Here is a 15,878-nt window from a genome sequence, read left to right as displayed (position 1 = left end):
CCTCTGATCTCCTCTGATCCCGCCACTCTGGTGGAATTCGAATTCGATTCCTGGATCCATCCATGCAAGGTGACGGTTTCCGCCTCCGAGCTGGGGCTGGCCACTCCACGGCAGAGTCACCACCCCCGTTTTGTCTCCGGGGCGTGCCCACTGCAGGCCTGGCCGGCTTGTGGGTCGCCGCCGCGGCCTAAAGCTCTGAGCCCCCAGCCGCGGCAATGCTGGGAATTTCAATGCCGCTATCGACTGCACGCCCTAATCCGTGAAGGTGGGCGCCCGATCCTGAGATTTCAAGTTTGATTTAGGAAATATCCCATCATTAAACCAAAACTCTTGCTTTCCATCCCCACCGGAGGCGGTGGGAGGATCCTTGCAGAGAGAAAAGAGGTTAGCGCCGGGACCGGGAGAAGGGGTAGGGGTCGCGCAAGGAAGGTTCTCCACAGACAAAAACGCCAATACAGAAACTTCTCGAAGAGCTCTCCAAAAGTTCCTAGGGCCTCCGTCCCCCGGCGCCCTGCTCCTCCCCCATTCCCAGCCGCCTGGGGCGCGGGCCTGCTTCACCGATTTGTGGCGGCTCCCTACCCTTCCAGTGCCCCCGGGCTGCCACCCTTCAGCCCCCGGAGCCAGCCCGCCATTTTTAGTAAGGGATTCGCACACGGACCCGGGGGCGGCGTTAAGTGGCTAATCTCTGGGTTTGGTCCTGCTGGGTTGGGGGCTGCCTCGCCCCCGCAAGGCAGCGAGGTGGCCTCTGGAGACTCTGTTAGGACGCACTCCCTCGCTCCCCACCCCCACGCCGGCTGCTAGCTCCCTCCCTAAGCTGCTGAAAGTGGCCGGGAGTCGAGAGGTGCGAGCTGTAAAAGGGGCCCGGGCACAGGGGAGCTCCCGGAGCCAGCCTCGGCCCAGGTCCCGCGCCTCAGCCTGGGGACAGGCTCGGAGGGGCGGGAGGCGGGAGGGGCGAGCTGACCCTGCACTCACCCAGTCCCCGCGCCTCTCGCTCCCCCGCCCGGCGCGAGCAGGAGGGGGCGGGCAGGGACTCGCGGCGCTCCGGCTCCCGCCCCTGCCCCGCCCCGCCCCGCGCGCGGGATCCGCGGGGGTGGGCGGCCTCGCCCGTAAGGCGCCCAGGCGATTGGCGACTCGGGGAAGAGACGCGGGGAAAAGTCGAATAAGAGGGCGCGACGTCAGACCCGAGATTTGGGGAAAGGCGAGGGAGGGGGTGGAAGGGCGGGGATGGACAGACAGACACCGACACACACCCCCCGCGCGGCACCCTAAGTGTCCACAACTTTTGGCTGCCTTACTTAGCCCAGGGCGCAGAGGCTGGAAAGGTCGCGGGGAGTATCGTGTGAGTAAAGAGAGAGATTTACAAAATAGAAGTAGTGAGAAAGGAAGAAGTGAAGGGAACGGACCGGAGAGCAAAAGCCCTCGTGAGAAAGGGAAAGAGAAGGGGAGAGGAGAAAGGAGAGTTTCATAGCGTCCAGGGCAGTGCAGGAGCCCGAAGCAGCGGAAGCGATCCTGGGGGGAAGAGGAGTGCGGAGAGGGGAGGGGAGAGGAAGGGCGAGGAGGGGGAGTGAAAACTAGAGGAGGGCGAAGGAAGCGAGGCGCGACACTGCTGGGGAGAGGAGGGCAGTGAGGAGCGAGGAGCGGGCAGAGGCAGCTCCGGCGGCCGAGAGGAGGGAGCGCGGCGCAGAGAGGAGGGGCTTGCGCCCCGTAGAAATGTCAATCAGAGCCCGGAGCCCCGGGAATCTCCGCCAATCTGTTCGGACCTGACCTGGCTCCTCGCCGCCGCCCTCGCCGCCGCCGTCGCCGCCGCGGAGCAGATCAATAGGCGAACGCGGAGCACAGCGCAGCGCGGGCGGCAGCGCGGCCCCAAGCCCGGCCCAGCCCCCGATGCGCGCCGGAGCCCGCGGGCGGCGCTGAGCTGGGCGGCCCGGGGGTCGGCCCCCCTCTCCGTCCGTGCCCCGCGGGCCACCATGTCCTTCCCCCAGCTGGGATACCAATACATCCGCCCGCTTTACCCGTCCGAGCGCCCGGGGGCCGCTGGCGGCAGCGGCGGCAGCGCGGGGGCCCGGGGCGGCCTGGGTGCCGGAGCCTCGGAGCTGAACGCCTCGGGGTCCCTGTCCAACGTGCTCTCGTCCGTGTACGGGGCGCCCTACGCCGCGGCCGCTGCGGCCGCCGCCGCCCAAGGCTACGGCGCCTTCCTGCCCTACGCCGCGGAGCTGCCCATCTTCCCGCAGCTGGTAAGAGCCCGCGGAGCCAGGGAAGGAGGGGTTGGCGCTGGGGCGCAGGGCGAGCTGAGCGCGCGGGGGCCGGACTAGAGGGGTGCAGGCCAGGAGGGGGGAGGCAGCGATGGCTGGGGCTCACTCGCGCTCCCTCCGCGCGTGTCCCTTCCTTCTCCATGTGCGTACAGGGCGCGCAGTATGAGCTGAAGGACAGCCCCGGGGTGCAGCATCCGGCCGCGGCTGCCGCGTTTCCGCACCCGCACCCCGCCTTCTACCCGTATGGCCAGTACCAGTTCGGGGACCCGTCCCGTCCCAAGAACGCCACCAGGGAGAGCACCAGCACGCTGAAGGCCTGGCTCAACGAGCACCGCAAGAACCCCTACCCCACCAAGGGCGAGAAGATCATGCTGGCCATCATCACCAAGATGACCCTCACCCAGGTGTCCACCTGGTTCGCCAACGCGCGCCGGCGCCTCAAGAAGGAGAATAAGATGACTTGGGCGCCTCGCAGCCGCACTGACGAGGAGGGAAACGCTTATGGGAGCGAGCGCGAGGAGGAAGACGAAGAGGAGGACGAGGAGGACGGCAAACGCGAGCTAGAGCTGGAGGAGGAGGAGCTCGGGGGGGAGGAGGAGGACACGGGGGGCGAGGGCCTGGCTGACGACGACGAGGACGAGGAGATCGATTTGGAGAACTTAGACGGCGCGGCCACCGAGCCTGAGCTGTCCCTGGCTGGGGCGGCGCGCAGGGATGGCGACCTAGGCCTGGGACCCATTTCGGACTCCAAAAATAGCGACTCGGAAGATAGCTCTGAGGGCTTAGAGGACCGGCCACTACCGGTCCTGAGTCTGGCTCCAGCGCCACCACCAGTGGCCGTGGCCTCGCCGTCTCTGCCGTCGCCCCCCGTGAGCCTGGACCCCTGCGCTCCCGCACCAGCCCCCGCCTCCGCCCTGCAGAAGCCCAAGATCTGGTCCCTCGCGGAGACTGCCACAAGCCCGGACAACCCGCGCCGCTCGCCTCCCGGCGCGGGGGGGTCTCCACCGGGGGCAGCGGTCGCGCCTTCCGCCCTGCAGCTCTCTCCGGCCGCCGCCGCCGCCGCCGCTCACAGACTGGTCTCAGCGCCGCTGGGCAAGTTCCCGGCTTGGACCAACCGGCCGTTTCCAGGCCCACCGCCCGGCCCCCGCCTGCACCCGCTCTCCCTGCTGGGCTCTGCCCCTCCGCACCTGCTGGGACTTCCCGGAGCCGCGGGCCACCCGGCTGCCGCCGCCGCCTTCGCTCGGCCAGCGGAGCCCGAAGGCGGAACAGGTGACTGCTGAGCGCTGGGCGCGGAGCGGGGGCGGGCTCTGCGGGTAGTGCCGGAGCTGGCCGGGAGGGGCAGGGCCCGGGGGGCGCAGGGCGCGCGTCCCTCTCCACTCCTGCTTTCTGCGGCCCTGGGCGCCGGCACCGAGCGCTCTAAAGGCCCTCCTTTTTCTTCCCCCGCTTCCCTTAGATCGCTGTAGTGCCTTGGAAGTGGAGAAAAAGTTACTCAAGACAGCTTTCCAGCCCGTGCCCAGGCGGTAAGAAACCCCGAGGTTGAGGGGCCAGGGGGACTGGCTGGCGGGGAAAGGAGAGGACGCCGAGCACCACGCACGGCCTTTTGCCCCGGGGTAGGGGGGAACCCTGCTGGGACGCATTTTGTAAAAGGGGACGAAAGTCACTTTTTCAGTCGCCCCTGTCGGCCCTGCGACAGCTCTCCAGGTCCAGCCCAGGCACCCCAGGCGCGGCCGGAGGGTACAGCGCTTGTACCTTCTAGGGGAAGCCTTGCGTGGCTGGGCCCACAGGCCCCTGGGGCGGGTGGCGGTTCTCTGACGCCCACCTCTTTCCAGCCCCAGACCTCGGGTCCTGACGCCTCGTGCCCACCCTACAGTTAAACCCCAACACACACATCTACAACTGGACATAATTTTACATTGCGACACCTTCCTGACGATCGGCCCCAATCCAAGTAGGATCTCCCCGCCCTAGGCAGCCTCTGCGCTCCTGAATCTCACCTCTTTTGCTACTACTGTCTCTCTCTTCCAGGCCCCAGAACCATCTGGACGCCGCCCTGGTCTTATCGGCTCTCTCCTCATCCTAGTTCTTTAAAAAAAACAAAAAAACAAAAAAAACTTTTTTTAATCGTTGTAATAATTGTATAAAAAAAATCGCTCTGTATAGTTACAACTTGTAAGCATGTCCGTGTATAAATACCTAAAAGCAAAACTAAACAAAGAAAGTAAGAAAAAGAAATAAAACCAGTCCTCCTCAGCCCTCCCCAAGTCGCTTCTGTGGCACCCCGCATTCGCTGTGAGGTTTGTTTGTCCGGTTGATTTTGGGGGGTGGAGTTTCAGTGAGAATAAACGTGTCTGCCTTTGTGTGTGTGTATATATACAGAGAAATGTACATATGTGTGAACCAAATTGTACGAGAAAGTATCTATTTTTGGCTAAATAAATGAGCTGCTGCCACTTTGACTATAACCCGCCTGTCTGCCCCCTCGACGGATCTGTTTGGTGGTTTTTTGTTTTTTGGGTTTTTTCTCCCCTCGGTTGTTTGAAGAATTCGCGGGAAAGGACGAGAGACGAATCGGGACCGAGTAGTCAAAGGACAGCAATAGCTGAGGAGGCGCAGAAGTGGCGGGGCTGGGGGCGCCGCAGCAGGAGAGGTGGCTGGAAAAGTACCTGGGGCGGCCGAGAAAACGGGAGCAGGAGACAGGTGGGAGACCCCGGCAAGCTTCTTTGCTGAGAGCCGGGAATCTGGGCCCGACCCGCTTGTCTACGGGAGCAACCGCGGGGGCTTGGATCCTTCTCTGGTGACCTTGCCAAGAGATTTAGAGAAGGGTCTGGACACAACGGGGTTAGCCTGCGCGGGTGGCGGGGTCGTGTTCTCATCACTCCCTTCGTCCCCATTCTTTGATCGACACAGTTGAGGCTTTCTCACTGTTACCTATAAGAGGCTGTGCAAGCCCAGATTCCATCCTCCTTCCAACCCGGTTGCCCCCCTTCCCTCTTTATAGATGCCAGGGTGTGGGGTGACGGTGGAGGCGGATATGGAGAAGAGGGTCGCCTAGGGGTACATAATCCTCTAGATGATGTGTGACTGCCCAGCTCTAGTTGAGAGTTGGGGAGCCCGGGTCCTGGGAGCATCTGTGCGTCTTGGCACCCTGGTGGGTTTTCCCACGTGCCCTAGAAGAGGCATCCTGCTAAGGCCCCGGCGCGGGGGTTGCGGGGGTGTCAGACCGCCGCACCTTTCCAGCCGGGATTCCGGCTCCAGGCGGGCCTGGGGTGGGCGGGCCGGGGGAGGCAGCAGGGAAATTTGGGGCTGGAGCTCCCTCTACAGGACAAAGGGGACGCTCGGCGCCTCGCCTCCGTGGCCTCTACACCCGGCCGCGCGCCGCGCCCCCTCCGCGCCCTCTTTTTCCTCTCGCAGTCAGCCAGCCAACCTTGCCCAAGTTTGACTTGAAGAAGTTGTAGGGAGTGTTTGGGCGAGTGACACCTCGGGGTAAGAAGGAGAGACACATTTTTTTGCCCCCTCCCCACGTTAGTAAAGGTACAGTGTGGCCAGATGCGGGGTGTTTGACCCTCAAAGTGGCGCGTGTGACTATCTCGCGCGTTCCGGGGAGGTATAGGAAGCGCGCACACCCCTCGAAGCCACGGAACAAGACACGGCTCAACACTGCACACCTTCGAAGCTCGGCGGCAGCAGAGCGGAGCCCGACAGGACTGGGCCATGCGGACCCAGCGGCCAGCGCCGCGCCTTGGGAGTTCCCTCCGCGAAGGGGGTGATCAAGGTGCGGCGGCGCCCCAGGGGCGAGTGGGGAGGGGACTGTGTCGGCCTCTGCGTCACTCTGCGGGCGCACAGAGGGCTGGCGAACCGCTAGTGGACACCCGGCAAAGCCGCTTCTCAGCTGGCTCGCTCCTCCAGCCCCTTCCCCAGAGGCCAAGGAGACGTCTCCTCGGCTCCCTAGCGTTCGCCCTCTTTGTTAACGGTGTTTCTGGGGTTCAGGCTCCTTCCCAGTTCGTAAACTCAGACTGAGGTTTCGCTCTGGCCCTGCTCACAGCGCCCCCAGACGTGGAGCCCGCCCATCCTCGCGGACTTGGACCTGAGGCCGGAACATTGAATGACTTTACAAGGAGAGCACTCCGACACCTCAACAGCTCACGCCTCACAAGCTTAGCTGTGGCACCGACTCTACTCCCACTTACCCCCTGTGAAACCCGAGGCAGACAATTCACTTCTCTGAGCCCTTATCTCCTCATCTGCAAAATGGAAATAATGAGGGCGAAGGGGGCAGTTTTTAGGCTGAGAGGAAGCATGTCCAGGGCTGACACGAGGTAGGTAGGCAGAAGCAATCTTACTCTTTTTTTCTTTAATTTAGAGACAGGATCTCACTCTGCTGCCCAGGCTGGAGTATTGCCCAGCCTGTTGCCCCAGCTGGTACAATCATAGCTCACTGCAACTTCAAACTTCTGGGCTCAAATGATCCTCCCGTGTCAGCCTTCTATTCACCGGAACTACAGGCACACACCACCACGCCCAGCTATTTTTTTTATTTTTTAGAGACAGGGTCTCTCTATGTTGCTCAGGCTGATCTTGAACTCCTGGCCTCAAGCAATCCTCCCACCTCAGCCTCCCAAAGCACTGGGATTACAGGCTTGATCCTCAGAACCTGGTCATTTTACTATTAAAATTACATGTCAGAATCTCCCATTTCGCTTCTTAAACTCCCAGCAGTATTCCACTCCACCCCTTTCATTAGTCATAAAAGTGAGGTGTCTGCATTCAGGCATCCCAGGATCCTTTGCAACTCCAGCTCAGCTAAGCAAGAGAGGGGAACTTCCCAGGCAGGGGCACAGCAGAGAGGGAGGTGACAGCAGAGGTTAGGTGGCCTCACTACACTGAACATCACCCAAGAGGAGGCAGGGGATCTGCTCACAGCCAGATGGTATGGAGAAGCAGGCGGGGCTTGAAGATGCCTGAGTGTGGGTCTCTAGGTCTTTCTCTGGTGGAGACCGTGAAGTAAGGTCAGCTTCTCAGGCCACATCCCAGGGATAATGGTCCTTGCATGAGCCACCTTCTGTCCCCACTGATAAAGCAGTATATTTAGGTACCAGAGGAGACTTGGCATAAACCTAGGAGCAGTCCCCATGCATCCGTATTTTCTCTTATCCCATAGAACACATGAGCCCTCAACTGGTCCTAAGTTGACCCCAATAAGATAACCTAATCAAAACAACAACAATAAAAGAATCTCAGCTTCTCAGCTGAAAGAGGGAAGAGGAGATAGTCCTCTTGGCATCTCTTTCACTTGACTGAGTTCCCATCTCTTCTCTTCCTCCCAGAACCTCCTCCCTAAGCCCTCCCCTCATCTCCCTCCTCTCAGGGGTCCCTGGAATGCCTCCATCCCTTATTGTCTGTCCTTAAAATCTTAAAGGGAAACCAGGAAGGAGAGAAGGAGAGAGACTATGGGAATCTCATCCCTGGTTCTGATTAAGCTTCAATTAGAAATAAAATATGTCAATCACTCCTCCTGGAAGGGGTTCCTGCTGTCGGGGCTGGTTATGCAAAGCACTCCAAGGTGTGTGGGGATAATCAATTAGGTCAGAGGAGGGAAAGTGTGGCACTGCTTCCCTCATTATCTGCGTGGAGCTGGGGAGCGGGGGAGCATCCCGGAGCCAGGGAGCCGGAGGAGAATGAAATTATCTCCCTAAGTGATTGTCCACCTCTGGGACCAGCATATTAATGGTTTCCAATTGAATCTCTTTCTAGGGGAATACAGGAAGGGGGAGGTGGGGTCTACCTAGAAAACAACATGGAAGGACCAGAGGGCAGGCGCAACGGAAGTCACTCACCTGTCCCAGGTGAGGAATGAGGACAAGGCAGGGTCCCCACCTACCAGGTGGGTGTTCTCTGAGCACACTGAGGACAGCCGGGCTCAGAGACTCCACTGCCTGAGTTTTGCAAGGTTGGCCATAGGGATTGAATGCTTGGGTAAGAATTGGATGTCAGACATTTTCTGTTTTAGTTTTATTGGGAGTTTTTGCCGGGGACTTGCTTTGGGCCTAATTGTTTGTATCCTTCTAGAAATGTCCTCTGGATCCTACAATTTCTGGTTGCAGGTACCCTTCACCCACTTCGAGTGAAAATGGACAATTGTTTGTAAAAATTGTGTCTGTGATGAACTAACACCAGCTTGAGTGGGGGCAGGTCTCATACTCTCTCTAGGCCCACTTTTGACATCTGTGCAATGGAGGGTTTGGATTAGATGAATTTATCCAAGCTTTCTTCCAAATCCAGTGTTGTCTAGGATTAGGCATAAAGGAAAGAACTATGAGTTCAAAGATAATCGTTGGGGGTGAGGGGGCCCTTTGACCTCTCTGGATACTGCCTCTTGATCCTAATTCGCTGCTGTCCTTGGATTCAGCCAGCCAACTTGACCAATTAAAAATGCCTGTCTGGCGTAGTGGCTCATATCTGTAATCCCAGCACCTTGAGAGGCCGAGGCAGGCAGATCACGAGGTCAAGAGATCAAGACCATCCTGGCCAAAATGGTGAAACCCCGTATCTACTAAAAATACAAAAATTAGCTGGGCGTGGTGGCACGTGCCTGTAATTCCAGCTACTTGGGAGGCTGAGGTAGGAGAATCGCTTGAACCAGGGAGTCGGAGGTTGCAGTGAGCCGAGATCGTGCCACTGCACTCCAGCCTGGTGACAGAGTGAGATTCTGTTAAAAAAAATGCCCATCTAGTGTGTGAACAACCTAGCTTTGATGCAGTTGCTGCTCCCCTCTGAGGGGGCTCTGGCCCCTCCGAAGGCCATCCCAATGGTCTGAATGGAAAACTACCATGAAGGCATCTCTTCTCGTGGTAAAGGCATGACTGGAAAGGGTCTTAAGAGTGGAGCAGTTGTCCTCAACCAGGCAATTGTGTTTTTCCCTTGCCCCCTCCCTGGGGACATCTGACAATGTCTGGAGTAATTTTTGATCATCAGAACGAGGGTAAAGGTGCTATTGGCATCTCATAGGTAGTGGTCAGGGGTGCTGCAGAAAAATCCTCCACTACAAAGAGTTATCCAGCCCCAAATTTCAGTAGTGCTGAGGTTGAGAAACACAGAGCTGACGCAGGGAGAGGTGTCTAAGGCAGCCACAGTAAGTATTTTCTCCCACAGCCACAGCTTTGTTGAGAGAAACATTAAAACAGGGTGCTAAGCAGAGCGTTTTTGTTCTTTAACAGCTTTTGGCCCTGGAACGGGGAAGTCAGGTGAGAGAGAAAGCAAACAGGAAATTGTGTGAGCCTGGGGAAAAGAAAAGAGTGGGTTTCAACTCAGCCTGGTGCCCAAGGCTGGAGCGGCTGGAGGCAAAACCTTCTGGGGTGAAAGAGTGGGAGTCACCCCCAACGAGATGTGTGTCTGGAAAGCTGGGGCCTGTCTTCCTTGAATCTTAATGTCAGGTGCAGGTTACTAGAAGATTCTAGCAGATGAAAACTTAACTAGTGTGGTTTTTGCCTTGTACGGGTATATTTATTTACTTGCTTATTTTCCGTGTGTGTGTGTGTGTGTGCACTCGTGTGTGTGTGTTTGTGTGTGTCCCGTGTCAGGGTGCAGGAGGGAGACAAAGGAAGGGTAAGTTCACACTCTGGGGCCTGGCCGGCCAGGACGGGAAGGCTGTGATTTCATGGCTTTTGTACTGGGAGGCGAGCCTGCACTCTCTCACTGCACCAGGCCGCTAACAAGTGGGCCCGCAGCCCTCCAGGGCCTTTGGAGTGCACTCATCTGAGAGATTGTGCTTTTCCCCGCCGCTCAGATTTATTTTGCCAAAGTTACAGGGCAATTATGGAAATGCGCCCTTTGAAGCTGGGCTGATTTCTCTTTATTTTCTTCTCCCTGACAAAGCAGAGCCCTGCCTCTTGCTGGTCTCTCTCTCCTCTCCTCTCCCTTTCCTCTTTTTTTCCTGATATTTATTAGATAGCAAGAGTTTCCAGAGGTAATGTGAAAAAATCTTTTAAATGATGATAAAAATGCATATAGATTAAAATGTTACTACTATTTGTGTGTGTGTGTGTGTGTGTGTGTGTGTGTGTGTGTGTGTGTGTTTTAAAGGACTTTGATGACCAGGAGGGGAGAAATAGATTCAGAATAGTAGGAGACAGACTCCTCCTGCCTGGATGGTGGGTGCACCCTAGTCAAGCCTGAGGCCCGCAGGAGCCTGGCTGGCCCACAGGCTGGCAGTGGACTGGTCTGGCCACCCGAGGCCCCTGCTGTGCCCCTAGAATCCACAGCTCCACAAACTGAGCAGAAGTGCTTGTCTCCCTTCCTCACACCTCTGGAATAAGAGGCCCAGGCTCCACATAGCGGGGTTTTCTGGGTTTGGTACATTATTTATCACTGGAGCATGGAAGCTGGAGGCTCCATGTGAACCAGCCCCACTGATTTCTCTCCACCGCCCCACTTTGCTTGATGCTGGGACGCTGAGGAAAAGTGTCTGAAGCCAGATGGCGTCCACCTCAGTGCTGGTGAGGCCCATGGAGCGGGAGAGCTGGCCTGGACTGTTGGGTGTCCGGGGGCCTCTGTTTCTATTTCTTAGAGTGGCTTTAAAGTTTTCTTTGTCCATATTTTTGTTTGCCCCTTCCTTCCTCCCTTCCTGTCTTTAGGGTGAATGGCTTGTTATCTGTGGACAAACACCAACAGGAAATCTTGTCACCTCCAGGAGCTGGCTTTGGCCCCAGTGGCCTGCGCAGAGTGGAGGCCGTTTCAGTGCTCACTTCTTTGGCCTGTTTTAAAAAATAAAATGAGCTGAGCGTGGTGGCTCAGGCCTGTAATCCCAGCACTTTGGGAAACCAAGGTGGGCGGATCACCTGAGGTCAGGAGTTTGAGACCAGCCTGGCCAACATGGCGAAACCACACGCACACCACCATGCCCGGCTAAATTTTCTATTTTTTGTAGAGACGAGATTTCACCATGTTGCCCAGGCTGATCTTTAACTGCTGGATTCAAGCAATCCTCCCGCCTTGGCCTCCCAAAGTGCTATGATTACAGGCATGAGCCACCGTGCCTGGCCTATTTTGTTTGTTTTAAAATAACTAAAATGCATGTGGGGGAGGAGAGAGAAAGAAAGAGAAAGGCAACAAACCACCTTCCCTGGATCTCTCAGCAAAGTTGAAAATGACTCACTCATTGGACACCACAGATACTCACAAAGCACCTGTGTAGGAACATGCACCTCAGGTGTGGTGCTCCAGAAGATGGGCCCCGGAATCAGACTGCCTTTGTTCAAATCCAGCTCCATCACTCTCTAACTGTGGGACCTTGGGGTACCAACTGCACCTCTTTGAGCTTGGCTCCCTCCTAAAACAGAAATAATAATTATATTACCTTTCTCATAGGCTGCTGAGAAAATGAAGTGAATGAATTCATGCCAAAAGCAATGCATCAGGCATAATGATTGGCCTCATGCATAATCATTAACTAATACATTGCAAATGTTATTTTTATTAATTATAACAACCACCCTAGGCCATAGGCGTAATTGTCCCCATTTTATACGTAGGTAAATCCAAGCTCAGCCACTTGTTCAGCATGGCCAATCAAGGGTGGAGCTGGCACTGATTCAGGCCTTTCTGACTCCAGAAGGCACAGGCATGCATTCGTCTGTGCTAGAATCTACACTAGTTCATGCATCAAGATTTGGAGTGGAGTGTTCTGCAGCTGTGAGCCCACTTTAATCCCATGCTATCCCTCTACTTGACCTACCTGATGTTCACGGGCATGACACTGTCTTGGATGGGCCAGGGTCACGTGCAGCCCTGGCACATCGCATCCACCTGCCTCCACTGTGGAAGACAGAATGCAAGGGCATCTGAGAGCTGTGTCAGAGGAATACCCTGGAATCTGTTGTCCTCCCTCTCTTTTTTTTTTTTTCTTTTTTGAAATGGAGTCTCCCTCTATAGTCCAGGCTGGAGTGCAGGGACATGATCTTGGCTCACTGCAACCTCTGTCTCCCAGGTTCAAGCAATTCTCCTGCCTCAGCCTCTTGAGTAGCTGGTATGACAGGCACCTGCCACCATACCCAGCTAATTTTTGTATTTTTAATAGAGATGGGGTTTCACCATGTTGGCCAGGCTGGTCTTAAACTCCTGACCTCAGGTGATCTGCTCAGCCTCAGCCTCCCAAAGTGCTGGGATTATAGGCTTGAGCCACTGCACCTGGCCCTCTCATTTATTTTTTCAGTAGGTATAGGACAGGACGAAGATCTCTGTCCACTCCTTTGATTCCTTCTCAGCTTCACTCCTGGTGGAAGGAGGCTTTGGGGGTAATTGCACATCAAAGTTTTGCTGTGAGAGGCCATCCACATTAGCAGGAAAAAGGCTTGCCTTCTTTCTAGATCTTCGCTCCTCGATGTGTGATCCCTGGACCAGCACCCACAGCATCAGCCTGGGAACTGGTTAGAAATGTGAATTCTCAGACCCCTTCCAGGTCCACTCAATCAGAATTTGCATTTTCCTAGGAGTATCTATGTGATGCAAGTGCTATTTTTTTTTTTTTTTTTTTGAGATAGGGTCTCGCTCTGTCACCCAGGCTGGAATGCAGTGATATGATTATAACTCACTGCAGCCTGGAACTCCTGAGCTCAAGCAATCCTCCCCCCTCAGCCTCCTGAGTTGCTGGGACTATAGGCACACAGCACCATACCTGGCTAATTTTTTTTTCTAAATTTTTTGTAGAAAAGGGGTCAGGCTGGTCTCAAACTACTGGCCTCAAGCAATCTTCCAGTCTCAGCCTCCAAAAGTGCTGGGATTACAGAAATGAGCCATTGTGCCCTGCTGCGTGTTGCATATTAAAAGGTGAGAAATACTGGTCTAGATACTCCTCAGTAAAACCTGGGGCCCCACCAGGATGGAGCTGGAACAGTCTCTGAGACTTGGATTTCCATGGGAAATGCAGAATGGGGCTGGGATGCTGTGGGGGAGACCAAGGAGGGAGGCAGGAAAGGAAAGACTGAGAGAGGTCAAAGGGGAAGGAGCCAAGCACCAACCCGGGGCTGATTACACCAAGATGGAAGATGGATTCGGCCTCTTTCTCTGCCTTTAAACATGTTCATGATTGGCTGTGAGTAACACTGGGCTTTCCATAGCCATAGCCTCTGCCCACATGGCCTTCCAGATACTTCACAGCATAGTGACAGGGAGGAGACCTAATTAGACAAACTTAGGACTTTATTAATAGCAGCCGATTTCTTACGCATCGAAGATCACAGCTGATCCCCACTAAACTTGGGTACGTCTCATGAAGAGAAAAGAAAAGAGAGAATAAGAGAGAGGAAGGAAGAAAAGAAAGAAGGAAGGAAGGAAGGTCATCCTGGATAGGCACGAAACTGGTAGGAGCCCTTGAGGGCAAGGACTGTGTCATTCACTTTTTCTTTTTGAGACACAGTCTCACTCTGTCACCCAGGCTGGACTGCAGTACTGTGATCTCAGCTCACTGCAAACTCCGCCCCCTAGGCTCAAGCAATTCTCCTGCCTCAGCCTCCCGAGTAGCTGGGATTACAGGCATCCACCACCATGCCTGGCTAATTTTTGTACTTTTAGTAGAGACAGGGTTTCACCATGATGGCCAGGCTGGTCTCGAACTCCTGACCTCAGGTGATCCTCCCACCTTGGCCTCCCAAAGTGCTGGGTTCCCAGGCATGAACCACTGCGCCAGGCCTCATTCACATCTTTTCATTCATTCATTCATTTATTCAACAATATCACACAGGGAGACAACATGTGAACAAAGTCCCTGCTTTCCTGGTGCCTTCAGTCTACTGGAAGTGGTTTTATAAAAATAACAGCAATAATGTGTTTGCTGGAATATGAGGGATAAGAACAAGATGCTGTAAGTGTGCATGATGAAGAGGACTTAGCCTAGTTTGGGATGGGGAAGGATTTATGCATTCATGGGCCTGGAGACACAAAGGAGGCCTGCAGCACAATGGGAAAGAGGAAGAGGAAGGCCCTGGACCTGCGCCATCCAACATGGCAGCCGCTGCCCACACATGGCTACTGAGCACTGGAAATGCAGCTGGTCCTAACCGAGCTGTGCCATCAAAATACACTCTGGAATTCAAAGGCTCCAGATATTAAAAGAAAAAAGAATGGAAAGCATCACAATGATTTTGTGTTTTTACATATTGAAATGACAGTATTTTGAACATACAGGGTTAAATAAGATATACAATGCGCCTCAACTTACTATGGAGTTATGACCCAATAAACGCATTATAAGTTGAAAATGTCATAAGTCAAAAATGCATTTAATATACCTAGGCTACCGAATACCATAGCTCAGCCTAGCCTGCCTTCAACATGCTCAGAACGCTTGCGTTTGCCTACAGTTAGGCAAAATCATCTAACACAAAGTCTGTTTTATTTATTTATTTATTTTATTTTATTTTATTTCTGAGACAGAGTCTCGTTCCGTTACCCAGGCTGGAGTGCAGTGGCACGATCTTGGCTCGCTGCAAACCTCCACCTCCCAGGTTCAAGCGATTCTCCTGCCTCAGCCTCCCGAGTAGCTGGGACTACAGACATGCACCGCCACGCCTGGCTAATTCTTATATTTTTAATAGAGATGGGGTTTCACCGTGATGGCCAGGCTGGTCTCAAACTCCTGATATCAAGTTATCTGCCTGTCTTGGGATTACAAGCGTGAGCCAACACGCCCGGCCACAACACCTGTTTTATAATAAAGTATTGACTATCTCTCATACTGCATATTTCCAGCCTGAGAAATTATTACCTTGCAATGGTTTTGCACCATTGTGAAGCCAAAAAATCGTAAGTTGAACCATCGTAAGTTTGGAACTGACTATTATTTAAATTAATTTTATCTGTGTCTTTATACTTTTTAAATGCAATTATTAGAATTTTTTTTGAGACTCTGTTGCCCAGGCTGGAGTACAATGGCACAATCTCAGCTCACTGCAACCTCCACCTCCCAAGATTCTCTCAAGTGATTCTCCTGCCTCAGCCTCTTGAGTAGCTGGGATTACAAGTGTGAGCCACCACACCCGGCTAATTTTTGTATTTTTAGTAGAGATGGGGTTTCACCATGTTGACCAGGCTGGTCTCAAATGCCTGACCTCAGGTGAGCTGCCCACCTTGTTATCTCAGAGTGCTGGGATTACAGGCATGAGCCACAGCCCCCGTCCAGAAATTTTTAAATGACGTACATGGCACATGTTGTGTTTCTAGTGGCCAGCACTGACCTCAAAAGACTGAGATGCAGGAGTCCACATTCCAGCACCACTGCTTACCAGTTAAGGCACCTTCAGCAAATTAGCTCAGCCACACTAAGCCTCAGTGCTGTCCTCTGTAAATAATCATATCTAGCATTTATTGTGTAGCTTGTATGTGTTAAGCACGTATAGCAGTGTATCCAATCTTTACAAGGTCCTATGAGGTAGGTACTACAATTACCTCCATTTTGCAGCTGGAGAAACGGCGGCTCAGGGAGATATAATTCACCCAAAGCCACAGCCCCAGGAAATGGGAGGAGGCATAATTGAACCCAGGTAGTCTGGTTCCCAAGACTCTATTACAAAAATCACTATACTGCCATGAACACAGCAATAGTACCTGTTACACGGGATTTCTACGGAGAATTTC

At 54.5% G+C, this 15,878-nt stretch overlaps 1 protein-coding gene across 2 annotated transcripts, besides 4 other annotated features; it reads left to right on the top strand.

Moving 5' to 3' along the window:
• Positions 161–661: an enhancer, noted in NCBI's record as "H3K27ac hESC enhancer chr16:54321269-54321769 (GRCh37/hg19 assembly coordinates)". NCBI's record gives its function as "activates a minimal SCP1, AML or CMV promoter by ChIP-STARR-seq in primed H9 embryonic stem cells {active_cell/tissue: H9 hESC(primed)}" and the evidence as "EXISTENCE:reporter gene assay evidence [ECO:0000049][PMID:30033119]".
• Positions 662–1,162: an enhancer, noted in NCBI's record as "H3K27ac hESC enhancer chr16:54320768-54321268 (GRCh37/hg19 assembly coordinates)". NCBI's record gives its function as "activates a minimal SCP1, AML or CMV promoter by ChIP-STARR-seq in naive and primed H9 embryonic stem cells {active_cell/tissue: H9 hESC(naive and primed)}" and the evidence as "EXISTENCE:reporter gene assay evidence [ECO:0000049][PMID:30033119]".
• Positions 1,231–4,714, top strand: IRX3 (iroquois homeobox 3). Of its 2 annotated transcripts, none has more exons than NM_024336.3 (4): positions 1,231–2,234; positions 2,405–3,521; positions 3,706–3,772; positions 4,278–4,714. In NM_024336.3, the coding sequence occupies exons 1-4, from the start codon at positions 1,968–1,970 to the stop codon at positions 4,330–4,332; spliced, it is 1,506 nt and encodes a 501-aa protein (NP_077312.2). In that variant the 5' UTR covers positions 1,231–1,967; the 3' UTR covers positions 4,333–4,714. The 2 variants fall into 2 exon arrangements, with proteins under 2 accessions (NP_077312.2, XP_005256196.1); XM_005256139.4 differs by having other exon boundaries at positions 4,082–4,714.
• Positions 1,296–2,215: an enhancer, noted in NCBI's record as "H3K27ac-H3K4me1 hESC enhancer chr16:54319715-54320634 (GRCh37/hg19 assembly coordinates)". NCBI's record gives its function as "activates a minimal SCP1, AML or CMV promoter by ChIP-STARR-seq in naive and primed H9 embryonic stem cells {active_cell/tissue: H9 hESC(naive and primed)}" and the evidence as "EXISTENCE:reporter gene assay evidence [ECO:0000049][PMID:30033119]".
• Positions 2,216–3,135: an enhancer, noted in NCBI's record as "H3K27ac-H3K4me1 hESC enhancer chr16:54318795-54319714 (GRCh37/hg19 assembly coordinates)". NCBI's record gives its function as "activates a minimal SCP1, AML or CMV promoter by ChIP-STARR-seq in naive H9 embryonic stem cells {active_cell/tissue: H9 hESC(naive)}" and the evidence as "EXISTENCE:reporter gene assay evidence [ECO:0000049][PMID:30033119]".
• Positions 4,715–15,878: the final 11,164 nt, after the last annotated feature.

This window comes from Homo sapiens, chromosome 16 (assembly GCF_000001405.40).
Source record: "Homo sapiens chromosome 16, GRCh38.p14 Primary Assembly".
Taxonomy (NCBI): Eukaryota; Metazoa; Chordata; class Mammalia; order Primates; family Hominidae; genus Homo; species Homo sapiens.
This window is presented reverse-complemented; position numbering and strand designations above follow the sequence as displayed.

What these genes read in the sequence shown, in the direction of transcription:
- IRX3 (XM_005256139.4), top strand. Translation starts at nt 1,968, where the DNA reads ATGTCCTTCCCCCAGCTGGGATACCAATACATCCGCCCGCTTTACCCG. An exon ending in TGCCCATCTTCCCGCAGCTG is followed by an intron (nt 2,235 to 2,404) that starts GTAAGAGCCCGC and finishes ATGTGCGTACAG; the next exon opens with GGCGCGCAGTATGAGCTGAA. An exon ending in GGAGCCCGAAGGCGGAACAG is followed by an intron (nt 3,522 to 3,705) that starts GTGACTGCTGAG and finishes CGCTTCCCTTAG; the next exon opens with ATCGCTGTAGTGCCTTGGAA.